At 51.2% G+C, this 13,710-nt stretch overlaps 1 protein-coding gene across 5 annotated transcripts in view; it reads right to left on the reverse strand.

Moving 5' to 3' along the window:
• Nucleotides 1-13,710, reverse strand: part of CAMK2A (calcium/calmodulin dependent protein kinase II alpha) — a 70,640-nt gene that overhangs the window by 52,990 nt on the left and 3,940 nt on the right. For all 5 annotated transcript variants that reach the window (NM_001363990.1, NM_001363989.1, NM_171825.3 and 2 more), the window contains one exon: nucleotides 585-679. In NM_001363990.1, the coding sequence (NP_001350919.1) occupies nucleotides 585-679 (95 nt within the window). The remainder of the gene's footprint in view (nucleotides 1-584; nucleotides 680-13,710) is intronic.

Below are 13,710 nucleotides of genomic sequence, written 5' to 3' on the forward strand. Positions count from 1 at the left end.
AGAATCGCTTGAACCCGGGAGGCAGAGGTTGCAGTGAGCCAAGATCGCACCATTGCACTCCAGCCTGGGCGACAAGAGTGAAACTCCATCTCAAAAAAAAAAAAAAAGAGAGAGAGAGAGACAGAAAATGGAGGAGGCCTCATCAGATTGAGGGGTCAGGAAAACCTCTCAAAGGATGTGACCTTCAGCTGAGACCTGAAGGCTGAGAAACAGCCATTCATGAAAGGAGCCAGGAGATGGCGTTCAGGCAGAGGGAATGGCAAGGGTAGAGGTCTGGAGGGGAGAAGTGATGGCAAGTGGCAAGAGAGTAGGGAAAGGAGGGCCCATCTGGTGTCTCAGCCCTCACCCGTGAGGCACAGAGCTTGGCCTGTCTGGGCGAGTCTGTGCTCTCCAGCCTTGAAAAAAAGGAAAAGAAGGAAAAAGGGAAGGTCTATTCTCATGACACCCCGGGAAGAGCAGCCCCCACCCCTGCCATAAGTATCACCCAGGGGCTCAGCCCTGGATCCTGGTCTAAACCAAGCAGTACAGGTAAGGGGAGAGAGGAGAGCCCTGGAGGGTGGGCAGGGTAGAAATCAGGCACCTACCTCTGGCTGACAGCTTCTTTGTGTTGATGATCTTGGCAGCATACTCCTGGCCAGCCAGCACCTTCACACACCTTCGCACCACCGAGAAGGCTCCCCTAGGAGGACAGAGAAGGTGGAGAGGGTGAGGGAATGCCTGAGGGCTGTGTCCCTAGGAGATGTTGGAGTTCACATCACTGCCCCACGCTAGACAGAAGCCCTTCATCAGAGCTGCTCAAGCTCACAGGGGCTTCTGTGACCCAACTCAGGGACACAGCGAGGCCAGAGAGACCCAGAAGATGGATCCAGAAGCAGAAGATTAGAAGCTTGGCCTCAAGTGAGAGGAGCCTGCCAACGTCATCAAAGTCGGGCTCATCATGCTGTAAAACATTAGAATCACGTAGTGTTAGAACCGTGGAATCCAGGTCTCTGAACATTTTTAGATTTTATTCTTTGAGTAGGTAAACGTGGATATGGTTCAAAGTTCAAAAGATATAAGGGTATAGGTAGTAAAATGACCCCCTCCCGCCCCTGTACTGCAGCCCCTGAGGTCCCCTTCCCAGAGATTACCACTGTTACCATGTCCTTGAGTCTCTTTCCACAGATGGTGTCCCACACACGAATGGACTGGACTTTGTATAGAGTTCTCCACCTTCCTTTTTTCAGTGAATAATATATTTTTAGAGATCATCCTTCCATATCATAACATAAGAGTTCCTTGTTACTTAGTATGTAATTGTATGGCTGTCCGATCCTTTATTCAGCCAGTCCCCTACTGATGGGCACTCAGATTAGTTTCAATCTATAGCCATTACAAACAATGCTACAATGACTAGCCGTGTATGTGTGCATTAGAATTATATCTCCTATGTATGCATGTGTCTGTGTGGGATACATTTCCAGAACTTATGTTATCTGGTCAAGGGGTAGGTGTTGTTTGCTGATTTCAATGGATAATGAGAGATTGTCCATATTAAAGATTGTACCAACTCACTTTCCCACTAGAATGCAAGAGTGCCTGTTTCCTTTGCCCTTGTCAACACAGTGTATTATCAAACTTTTTTATATCTGCTAAAGAGACAGGTGGAAAATGGCAATTTGCTGTAATTTAATTTGTAATTGTCACATTAAGAGTGAAGCTGAGCATCTTTTCATGTGTTAAGAGGCTCTTGGGATTTTATCCTCAAACTATTAGTAATTATAAGAGAACTTGGGGCAAGGTCTGTGAGCTTTCCAGCTCACAGGGGAAAAACATTGTCACCATGTAGAATGTGGCCCATTTCCTACCTCATTTGATTTTTCAGGAAAAGCTACAAGTCTGGATATTGATGAGAAGTTTCCCAATTTTTAAATATTGGCACCTATTCCAAAAGAACTTGAGGATGGTATTAGGCCAAACAAAAGTTGTCTAAGGGCTAGATCTGGAGTCTAGATGCCATTTTGCACTCTTTGCCAAAAAGGCCATGTGCTCCAACCCCTTCATCTACAGAGGAGACTCCTAAAGGGCCCGATACTGACCGTAGTCACCACTATGGCACCCTAACCCCATGCTAATGGCAAGAAGAGAGTCTCCTGGGCAGGCTTCCCAAATCTAAATGTCCATGGAAATCACCCAGGCACCTTGTTAAAATGCAGGTTATGATTCCTCAAGACTTTGAGCTCCAGTATAGTTCAGTGTAGATTGCCCAAGGTCACATGGTTCATAACAGGCAGAGCTGTGTCTAGAACTCAGATGTTAGCATTCTTGGGTATGTGACTTCCACACCAAGTAAGTCTTCCACTTCCTGGCATGCTGGGCCATGCCCAGGTTTTTGACATGGCTGCACCCATCACATCCTTCAAACTTGGATGCCCCATCCCAAGCTTATGGGCAGCTCCGAGCCCACAAAAAGATGAGGCTGACAAGGCAGAGGAGGATGCTGGCAGGCACCGAAGAAGCCTGCAGGCTAGCACAGATGCCTGCTCTGCACACAGCCCTGAACATGGTATCACTGGCTTCATGTCTGGGCAGCAGGAAATGAGCGGCTGGGAAACTGTGCAGAAGGATGAGGAGGAAGGAGCCAGGATACGGACTAGAGACCAAGAAATATAACCTTGTAGGAAAGCTAGAGAGGGCCAGAATTCATGGGCACACAGAGGGCCTCACACAGCTGTGGCTCCTCCTTGGGGCGTGCAGCCTGTCCATATGCTACCAGGAAGAAAGCAGCAAGACCCCAGTCCCCTCCCTGAGACTCTCCCCTGCTATGCAGCCCCTCTTCCGTGCTTCCAGAGCACCCCTGCTTAGAAAAAATTCACTTTTCTTCCATCATTCCCATGCTTCTGGCCACCAGCTATGAAGGGGTTTTTTTTCACACCAACTGATGCTTTGGACACCAGTTGGGTATCCTATAATTCAGTTATGAAACTAACTACCTAGAGTTAGTGCAGACCCCACAGGTTAAGGGCTAAGTCCTACAAGACTTTCCCCTTGCTTCAGATACCAATCACAAATAGTGGGTCCTCAGGTTACCCACAATTCTGTCCACCCAGCTAGTGACTGGGGGATCCCACAACCCCCTCCTTTTATCATTTTCTATGATGGCTCACAAAACTAGGAAAACGCTTACTTACATTTACCAGTTGTGCATGTGTGTGTGTTTACATTAAAGGTTATGATAAAGGGTACAGATGAACAGCTAGATGAGGAGGGGCACAGAGCAAGGTCTGGAAGGATCTTGAACACAGGAACTTTAGTCCCCATGTAGTTGGGGTGTGTCACCTTCGGGGTATGTGGATGTTTTCACCAAACCAGAAGGTCTCCCAGCTCCGTACTTAAGAGACCTTTATGGAGGCCTCATCACTAGGCATGATTGATTATTAACTCAATCCCCAGCCCCCCTCCCCTCCCTGAGAATGGGGAGAGGGGCTGAAAGTTCCAAGCTTCTGGCCACGGTTTGGTCTTTCTGTGACCAGCTCCCATACAGGCACCCACCCAAAGCTGCCTCATTAGAACAAAAGATGTTCTCATCACCCAGGAAATTCCAAGGCAGTTGGGAGCTTTCAGTCAGGAACTGGGTTCTAAGACCAAATATTAGAACAAAAGATGCTGTTAGTACCCCCATCACTTAGAAAATTACAAGGGTTTGGGGAGCTCTGTGCCAAGAACCAGGGACAATGACCAACTATTTATTTCTAGATTTCCACAACCCTACATCCCCATCTAACTTAGATTGGTGGCGGCTCCTCCACCTGCTTATTTCTCCCACCCTGACAGTGAGTTCCTGAGGGCCAGGACTTTCACTTTCTTCTCTCTGCCCCCAGTGCTTGAATACCCAGCGTCTAGTGCCAATAGAGCCTCCATGAGTGTTACTTGCAGGAGAAGGAGGTGGATTTCAGCAAGAGTGAGAGAAACTGAAGTGAGACAGGAGAAGAGATTTTCAGATGGGGTGTTAGGAATAGGAACAGTCATCTAAGGAAGGTGGGGGACAACTAGTCTCTCAAAGGTGCCCACCCTACCCAGGCATGGGGATGGACCCCAAAGACCTTTAGGTCCCCCTCTAGCTGGGGGCCATGATTCTCAAAAGCCCTATGAGAAAGAAGCTTAAAGTGGCCACATCTGGGCAAGGTTCTGAGAACTCCAGGAAGAGAAGGGCAGGAAGCAGGGAAGGTTGTGAGCTCCAGGGTGCAGGAGCTGGGTCTCGTCCTGCTCACCAGCACCTGACAAAGCTTGGTCCAGAGCTACAGCTCAATTAATATATGTGGGTGGATGGAGGGATAGAGGAAGGGATGGTTGGACGGGGGAGGGAGGGATGAGTATAATTTCTCCATTAGAGAGGCAAAACTCCATTCTAGGTAAAGACCTTAGATCAGTGATTATCAAATTGGCTGCCTCAGAATCCCCTGGAGGATCTTTAAAAAAAAAGATTCTGGCCGGGCGTGATGGCTCACGCCCGCAATCCCAGCACTTTGGGAGGCCAAGGTGGGAGAATCTCTTGAGCCCAGGAGTTTGAGACCAGCCTGGGCAACATGGCGAAACCCCATCTCTACTGCTGAGCATGGTGGTACACATCTGTGGTCCCAGCTACTCAGAAGGCTAATGTATGAGGATCACTTAAGTGCCAGAGTGGGAGGTTGCAGTGAGCTGAGATAGCATCACTGCACTCCAGCCTGGGTGACAGAGCAAGACTCTGTCTCAAAAGAAAAAATAAGCAGATTCCAAGGTCCCACCCACACCTCCTAAATCAGCACCTCTGGGTGTAGGCCCAGGGAATTTGTAATTTCATTTTAACTCTGTCTGTGGGTGATTCTTTCCCAGGCAGCCCAGCACTGCCCAACGCCTTCCGGGGAAGTCCTGCTGTGTATCCTGTCTCCCTTGGAAATCAGCACTGATGGGGGCCAGCGAGGGGGGCTCTGCACAGGGAGGCCTGACAGGCCCCATGAGCCTGGGCTCTGGCTCAGTGAGCCAAGGCCGTAAGAGCTACGTCTATAAAACAAGAGAAGCCATACGTGCTGAAGTTCCTCTTCAGAACAGCACCAAGCTTTTGTGTAAATTAGAGGCTCCTCACTGAAGGTCCATGCCGTAGATGGGGTAGTGTGGGGACCCTGAACCCCTTGAAGGATACCCTGTACATCCCAATGTAAGCAAGTGCATTTTTTGGAGGCAGGTAAGGGTGCATGGCTTTTATCAGATGCTCAGAGAGAGGAGTTTCTCAAAACAAGTTTAGAGCTGCTGATCCAGAGGGTACCAGCCCCTCACAAGCGCAGAAGTCTTCTTCCCTTCAAATATACATTCACCACTAAGCACCCTTTTGATCCTCACAGCAATCCTGTGAAGTTGGAATTCTGATCTCCCATTTAATAGATCAGGAAACTGAGGCCTCAAGTGAGCAGGCATATTCTTAATTGAGGCTATGAAGAGAATCCAGGTCACTTGCACTTTTTCTTCTGACTCAACCAACAACAGAAGAATGTGGTCCTCAAAAGCAGAGGCTCTGGGGTCACAAAGACCTGTAGTCCAATCCTAGCTCACCCCCAACTGTGTGACGCTGAACTTGACACATCACCTTTCTGCGTCTTCCTGTTAGAGGGCAATAATAGCCTCTACCTCCTGGGTTTGTTGGGGAGATTAAGTGAGGTAACTAGTGCAAAACACTTGGCACAGTACCAAGCACATGAGACATAGTTGGGAAAGAAGGGGGTCTGAATGAGGCAAGGAAAGGGGCTGGGCTGCTACCTAGGCAGCCCCAGGCTCCATCCCTGCCTGCCATGGCAGTGGGGATCAGAGGAAAGTCATAGCCAAAATGAGAGTGAAGGCAGTGAGTCGGCAGCCCTAACTTCCTCCCTTTTTTATCTTCTGTTTAAAAAAAAAAAAAAAAGCATGTTTCTGTATTCTTGTCCTGCATGAACAAGTGGCAATAGCCCAGAAACCTTGGCAAACAGAAGAGCCAGCCCACTCCTCTTGTGGCCCTGAGCTGAGCAGGCAGCCAGCAGATGGGTGGGTGGGCCAGAGCTTGGGAACAGGACAGGGCAGGAGAGGCAACGAGGCCAAGTTGGGGAGGGCAAGGGTGGGAAGCGATGGCCAAGAGTCCCAAGAGGAAGGGATGAGGCCTGGGTGTGAGAGCTGTGGCGGATGGCCATGGGCAGTCCTGGAAGTGCCTGTGAAAGTGTTTCTGAATTCCTCGAGGGGTGTAGGGGAATGCCCCTGGGTGCAAAGGAGGAGGGGTGGGGGAAGTGTTCCTGGGTGCAAGGGGCGGGTGTCTGGCCATAGGCGTGTATTGGCAACCTGGTCTAGCCCCTAAGAGTGTGATGCTGTGAGGCTGTAGGTGTGACAAAGCACACGTATATCACCCTAGGTATGAGGCGTGCATCCACGTGAGCCAGAGGGTCACAGAATGTAGGCAGGGAGGGGTGTGTGGGGGGAGAGACAGACAGGCAGACACCGGAGGAACCAAGTCTCAGCCCTCAGCCCTGCTGGGAGGACTTGGGCAAGAACCAGCCCCAGTGAGGGCCGCAGTCTCTTCATCTACAATGTGGAGGCTGGGGTAAGGATGAGGCTCAGGAATGCAGTGGCTTTTCAGCTCTCGTGTTTCATACCAGTGCCATTCAACAGAACTTCCTGTGATGATGCACACACCCTGAGCTGTCCACTGCGGCAGCCACTAGCCACAGATGCTACAGAGCACTTGAAATGGGACCAGTGGAACTGAGCACCAAATTTCTTATTTTATTTAATCTAAATAACTATATGTGGCTAATGACTGCCACATTGGAGAGCGCGGTTCAACATAGAGAAGAGCAGGCACTCCTGAATCAGACCGAGCAGAGTTCACATTGTGGGTCAGCTACTTCTTCCTAGCAAGCTACTTCACCTCAGTAAGCCTGTTTCCTCCCCACTGCAAAATACGGATAATAATAGTACCAACCCTATGCAGTTGTTTCAAGGATTCAATGAGATAATAAGGTAGGCAATGAGTTTGGCAGAGTCCCTGGGGTATAGTAAATGCTCAAGGAACAATGCCTTGTGTAGGCATCATTATCCATGAAGAGAGGAGGACAGCTGGCATCATCAGAAACAAAATGGACATTGTTTGCCAAGCTCGGGGAAGAAGCAAGCCAAGGTGGACGTGTGTGGGAGCCACAGCGAGGTAAAGAAGGGGCTGCTCACCAGGGTTGAGTAGCCTGCCCCTGAGGGTGGACGAGCAGGAGTGTGGGCAGGCAGGGAGGCCCCCCTCCGGCACTTCGGCAGACAGACGGAGAGGGCACAGTGACAGTGGGTCCGGCGCATGGCTGAGAATGTGGGAACGTGCTAATGGGCTGTGAAAAGCAAGATTCACGCTGGGAAATTGCTTTCTAGCTGCCTGGCAGACAAGGTGGCCTGGGTGTAGCTGGCTGCCAGCCCAAAGGGGCCCACTGCCCTCTCTGGCCTGAAACAGCAGGAAGAGTTGACATGGCAGCCAAGTGCAGCTCCAGCAGCACTAGATGGGGAGTCAGAAGTCCTGAGCCCTCACTCAGCTTGGCTACCAGCTTGCTTACTCTTCTGGGCCTCAGTTTCCTCATTTGAAAGATGCGACCAGCCCTGCTCCCTTCTGGGGCTATTTGTGAGGGGTCTCTGCTACTCAAGACTGGTTGCTGCCACTTTCTCTAAAGGAAGCCTCTTCACCTTCACCCCAAGCCACTCAGAGCCACGTTACATCTGTGAGTCTCAGCAAACAGGAACACTTTTTATCTATCGTGGCCTTCTGGGGACAGCAATCACCCAACACTTCCCTCCACTCTGTTCTCCGTGGGGGTCTGATTGTCTGGGCCCCTTACGGTAGTCTTTAGTGTCTGCTCTTCATTGACTGTTTCCTCAAACACGCTCAGGTCTCCTTCCTTCCAGAAAAATAAAACTCTCTCCTCAAATAAAACAAAACAACCGAGAACCTTTCTCTCGACCCAGCAGCCTGGGCTGTTTCCTTCCTCCCTTCTTCTTTGCTGCCAAACTTCCAGAACAAATGTCCGACATCCGCCGCCTCCTCTTCCCACCTCCCACACTCCATGAACCCACCACAATCTGGCTGCCGCCCCCAGGGCTCCATGGAAGAAATGCCTGCGCCAGGTTCGCCCACCCATGCCTCCTCCCACCCTCACCACTACCCCTTGCAGTCCCCGCTGGAGCCTAATGCACCTTGCCTGCCCCACCCCAGGTAGCATTTGGCCCCACTGAACACAGCTTTGAGCTCGCCCTTCCTTTTGTTTCTGGGTCGCCGTGCTCTCCCAGCCTTCTCCATCACTGACAGTGCCTTTGCTGCCCCACCTTCCCTCAGTATTGCTGCTCCCGGCCTCTTTCTACCCACCCTCTTACCACTCCTGCCCATCCCCTCTACCAGGGGCCATTAGCTGTGATCTCTGGGGAGGCTCTGGGCATTTGTGAACCCACTTAAAACTGTATTAAAATGATTCTGTGTCTGTGCATTGTTCTGGGCAAAGGATGCGTAGTCATCAGCTCTGCAAAGCAGTCCATGACTCTGCAAATAGTTAAAGCCATTGACCATCACCCAAAACTGAAATCCACATCCAGAGCCCCCTCCTGTCTTAGGAACTCTAGCCCCGTATTTTTAGCTACTCATTATCTTGCCTAGATGCTACATGGCAGTTACCTCATAATCAAAGCCCAGTCTCTTCCCCAAAATTTCCCCACTCTTGGTTAAGATACTTAAGCATTTCACTTCTCTGAGATGAGCTGGGGGTATTTCAGAAAGTTCCTGGTCAAATGCAGATAGATCTGTTACCTGTAAGAGAATCTGCATCCAAAACCCCTTGGTGGTCAGTAACACATAGCCCAAGCTGGCTGATTTGATCACCCAGGACGTGGAACCCAGAATAGAGAGGTTAGAATGCCTGGGGGAAGAGAAAGAGCTGGGGTTGGCCACAGAGGCAGCACCACGCACTGGGCTAGAGTTTGGGCCACATGTGGCTGCATCAGAACCTTGTATAGCCCATAATGTCTTACTTTTGAAGTCCACCCCCTCCTATTCCAAAGCTGAAGAAACTGGGGCCAAGACTTTGAACCCAGGACTGCTGATTCATAGTCATTGCTTTTTCCAATACCCAGTACTCTCAGGTTAGAGGGGGTCCGACCTTGAGGTCCATAGTTGGGCTTGGAGTAGGAGGACCTGTGGAAAATAGCAGCATTCTGCGTGTTGCAGTGAGTGTGCATTTTGGAAGGGGGAGAGTACCCACAGCTTACTTGAGATTCTCTGAGGGCTCCTAATTCCCAAAACAGTTAAAAAGCTGGGGTCAGTTTCATTCAGAAACAATGAGAAGCTTTTAGGCCTCAGCTTACCCATCTGTGAAATCAACTGTTGATAAGTAATTTTTAAGCCTTCTCTTTCTTTCTTTCCCATTTAGGCATTAGTACCTTTTGTTAATAATAAACAAACAAAACACAGCTATGCAGCTTCTCAAATGGCAAATAGATCAGAGGAGATGGGGCTGGATGCTCACTATCCCCTTTGCTTGACTCTCCCCACTTCTTCCCAGCTCTGTAAGCAGAACTCCACAGAACAAAGCATTATACAGCTAGAAAATCCTAGGACCTGTTACTGAAACCACACCTCTCCCGTCCTCTCGACCGCCTGAGGCTGCAGCCACCCACTCCCAGACTCTAAAAGATGCTGCAGGGACGCAGTGTGCTCGAGCTGTCCCACACTGCCCCCCGCCCCCAAACACCAATCCAGCAGAAGTCTCGTGGGGGACACAGAAGGGCTAGGAACCGGAAGAATCTGTTTGCTGCAGGGAACATTGAACCAACAGAAGTTCCAACATATTCCTTGTTTTGGCTGTGCAAGGGTTTTTTTGTATGGGTCACAAAAAGAAAAACAGAAAAATATTCTATTTTCTCTTTACAGTGCTTAAAGGAAGGGCCAGAGCCCAGCAAGGCAAGGGACATGCCAAGGGGTGACTTACTCCTCGGTCTTTGATGGCCTGTCCCTGTCCAGAGTATACACCACAAAGGCTTTCAGAGGTCCAAGCGTCAAAGAGAGAGAGGCCTCCAGGGGTAGGACAGCCAAGCACTGGAGTGGACAGACACTGGAGTGTCCAGTTCTCATGTGTCACTGGCTTGTGTGACCATGGGCAACGCCCTCACCCTCTCTGGGCCTTAGCTCACCATCTGTAAGACAATGGAGCCCTCTTCCCTCCAATATACTGAATCGAACTGAGGGTACCATGGCTCTAAACCATCTCCCATATCATTCTTTCAGAAAAACATCTCCCCAGATGAGGGTAGGGACCTAGGGCAGGAGGCCTGCAAGGAAGGTAAGGCCATGGATGAGAGTGGGAATTTGCACATCTCTGCTGCCAGAGCACTAGCTCCTGAGGCCACAGCCAGCTGTGGGATGCAGGAGCAGTTCTGACCATTGGAATGTCTTCCTTCTGTGGAGCTGAAAGCTACCTCCCTTACTCTACAGAGTCGGCAGCTCTGCCTCTAGGGCCCCTCAGGCCCCAGGACATCTCTGCAGACATAAGATGTTGGGGAAGGGGGAGACATAGTCCCCAAGGGATCTCTTCTGTCTGCTAAAGCCCCCCAATTCCTTGGTGTTCTCTCACTTGATTCAGCTTCCAGACCTTCACCACCCTGCCTGGCCCCCTCTTCCAGACAATCTACAGGTTTTTAATAGTCCTGCTAGGACCCAGCATCTGGAAATTGGGGTCAGGCTGAACAGGCCAGAGAAGAGTGGGACCCCAGATCCCCCAGGGCTGACATGCTCCACTGAAATACATACCTCAGAGCTTTTGTCTGGGTTGTTCCCACTCTCAGGAACACTCTTCCACCCTCTTCCCTCTGGTTAACTCTTCCTCCTCTCTCTTACTTTCTCTCTTTTTTTAAGATAGAGACAAGGTCTTGCTCTGTCACCCAGGCTGGAGTGCAGTGGCATGATCATAGCTCATTGCATCCTCAGACTCCGGGGCTCAAGCAATCCTCCCACCTCAGCCTCCCGAGTAGCTGGAACTACAGGCGTGCACCACTGTGCCCAGCTAACCTCTGGGTAACTCTTATTCAGCCTCCAGCTCCCTAATGTCACCGCCTCAGGGAACTTTCCCTGATACCTTCCTCACCCCAACTAATCGAGGTCTCTTTGCAGCTCACAATTCCATGTGTGTGGCCAAAGCCCTTATCCAGTTGCATGTAAATAATGATTTCTGAAGTGATTTAATTAATGTTGGCTTTGCACTGGATTGTGAGCCCCGTGAGGCAGAGACTACTTAAGTCTTGCATGTGGTGCATGCTGGGCTCAACCTAGGCCTGGGAACAGAGTACCCCGCCCAGGAAATACCTGTTGAAAGGATGCAAGGATTCCAGATGTGTTCCTCTTCTTATATGACCCTAAGACACCAAGGCCCTCAACCTTCTCCAGCACAGAAAGTCTCACTGGCCTTAGAGTCCCACCTGACACCGTGGTAGACAGCCATGCCACACGAGGACCTAGAGGACCTGGGCTGGGTCTCAGGAGGTTGGGCTGCACCTGCACTCAGCAGGTTGCCTGGGGTAGGAGGCTTCCTACAGTGCCACAGAGAAGCTCCAAGAGAATGCCACAGGTGGTTCACATGCAGAAGGGGACTGCAGCAAAGAGGGACAGAGACAGAGGCAGAGTGAGACCAGAGAGACAGAGACAGAGTGAGACCAGAGAGATGGAGAGAAGAACACAGAGAAAGACAAGCCCTGCTAGCACCATCTTGCTATCCCTGCACTGGGAGATGGACTCGTGCTCTATGCCCTGTCACAGCCAGTGTGTGTGTGTGTGTCCATGTGCATGTGTGTGCTCCCGTGAGCTGTGTGAAGACGCATGTGTGTGTGTGAGCACGCATGCATCAGCAACAGGATGCGAGTGTTGCACTCCGAGGCTCTGCCCTCACCCCACAGAGAGGGCCATGGCCCAGACTGCAGGGCATGCTGGCAGCAGTGTCACTGTGTGCTTGTGGAGGGAGGTGGGGAGGAAGGGAGGGAGGGAGGGAGGCTCAGCAGAGTGTCAGTGTGTCTCAGCCTGTGTGGGGGCGGCTGCGCGGGGGCGGAGGGCTGCAGCGTGCACCAGAACATGTGCGTGCCTGCCGCTCTGATGGCTTGGAGGAGAGGGAGGAAAGCTCGTCCCTTCCCTGTTCCTGCCACCCTTTCCTTGAGGTCCTGCCCCTCAATTTCCCATCCTTTGGCCTCTGGTCCCTGCACGTCATCTAGTCCCCTAGCCTGGGCCCTCTCTCTCCTGTGGCCTTGGACAAACCACTTCTCTCTGAGTGTTGGCTCCCAGAGACCAAGGCAAGGACCATCTATGCAATGAGCAGAGCATCTCCATGGTCCTTACAATTCTGATGTTCCGGAGGTCTGCAATTTCCCATATGTGCCCTCCACAGAGGGAGGCTACAGAGCGTGGCATCTCTAATGGGGCATTGCAGGCATCTCCAGAGGTATTATGATCCCCATTTTACAGATGGTAAAGCCGAGGCACACAAACAGCAAGTGATTCACCCAGGATGGCCCAGTAAATTAGAGGCAGAATCATGATTGGAAAATCAGCAACATCAGAGTTTCCCTGCCCACATGGCCACTGCTCCTCTTCCCCTGTTAGTGGGTAAGAGGGAGGATGTTCCCCAGATACGGCACCAGTCACGATCCCTCTCAGCAGTCTTCCCCCGATATGCTGGGTGCTGGAGACCTGGACATAATCCCCTGAGCCAGTCTCTCCACCTCCTCAAGCTGCGGTCTCCTCATCTGTAAGATGGATGAGTAAGCCCTGCCCAGCTCCTTCAGAGATGAGCTCATGGATGAAAAGCCTTGCCGGCCCCAAAGTGCTGTGGATAGGAGAGGGTATAAGAGGTGGAAGAAAAGCACGGCCCCCAGTCTTTGGGTACATGGATGCCCAGTGTCCTCTCTCCAACGTGACATTGTCCACCCAACAGCTCTGCCTGGGAAAGGCAGGATTGCTAAGCACATTCTACAGATGTTAGAGTTTGGGTCCCATGAGAGGACTTGAGCACCCAGGCCCCAGGACCTCAGTACAGGGAGTTGCCTCTGGGCCACACTGCCACCTGTGGATCAACCCAGGTGAGAAGGAGCTTAGGTCGAGGAAGCTGCCCTCTCCTCCCTGTCAACCATGCTGGCCAACTGCAGCCTTGGCAACCCCTTCTCCAACCCCAGCTCTGCCTTGAGTCAATTTCAGATCTCTGTTTCTAGAGAGAAAAGAGTGGGCTGAGCTCTCTCTCTAGTCTCTCTTCCTCCCTCTCTCTCCCTCTCTCAAGTAAAATCTCCTTCAGAGACTCTTCCTATACAGCCCAGTGATGACACAGGCTGCAGGGCAACTTTCTACCTTTCTAACCTCTCCTGGGGGTAGGATCAGAAGCCCGGAGAATGCCAATGGCTGGAAAAGGCTCGTTTTCCACTTCCTTGAACGTGACCCCTTCCCTGGGCCATCTGCTGCATCCGTGGCAACCCCTTTGCCCAATAACCAGCATTCTTCCCTTTCTCAGAGAGGTCTTTGGAGAAGGCTGGGTATGCTGGGAGCTCTGGCCTGACCACTTCAGTCCACACTGAACCCTGGAGCTGGTGCAGCACGCCTCCTGCAAGCTTCGGTGCCGCTAGGATCTGGGCTTTTATTTCTCTCATCCTCAGGAGAGAAGAGGATTGGGTCAAACGAAGAGG

Source organism: Homo sapiens, chromosome 5 (genome assembly GCF_000001405.40).
Source record: "Homo sapiens chromosome 5, GRCh38.p14 Primary Assembly".
Classification (NCBI taxonomy): Eukaryota; Metazoa; Chordata; class Mammalia; order Primates; family Hominidae; genus Homo; species Homo sapiens.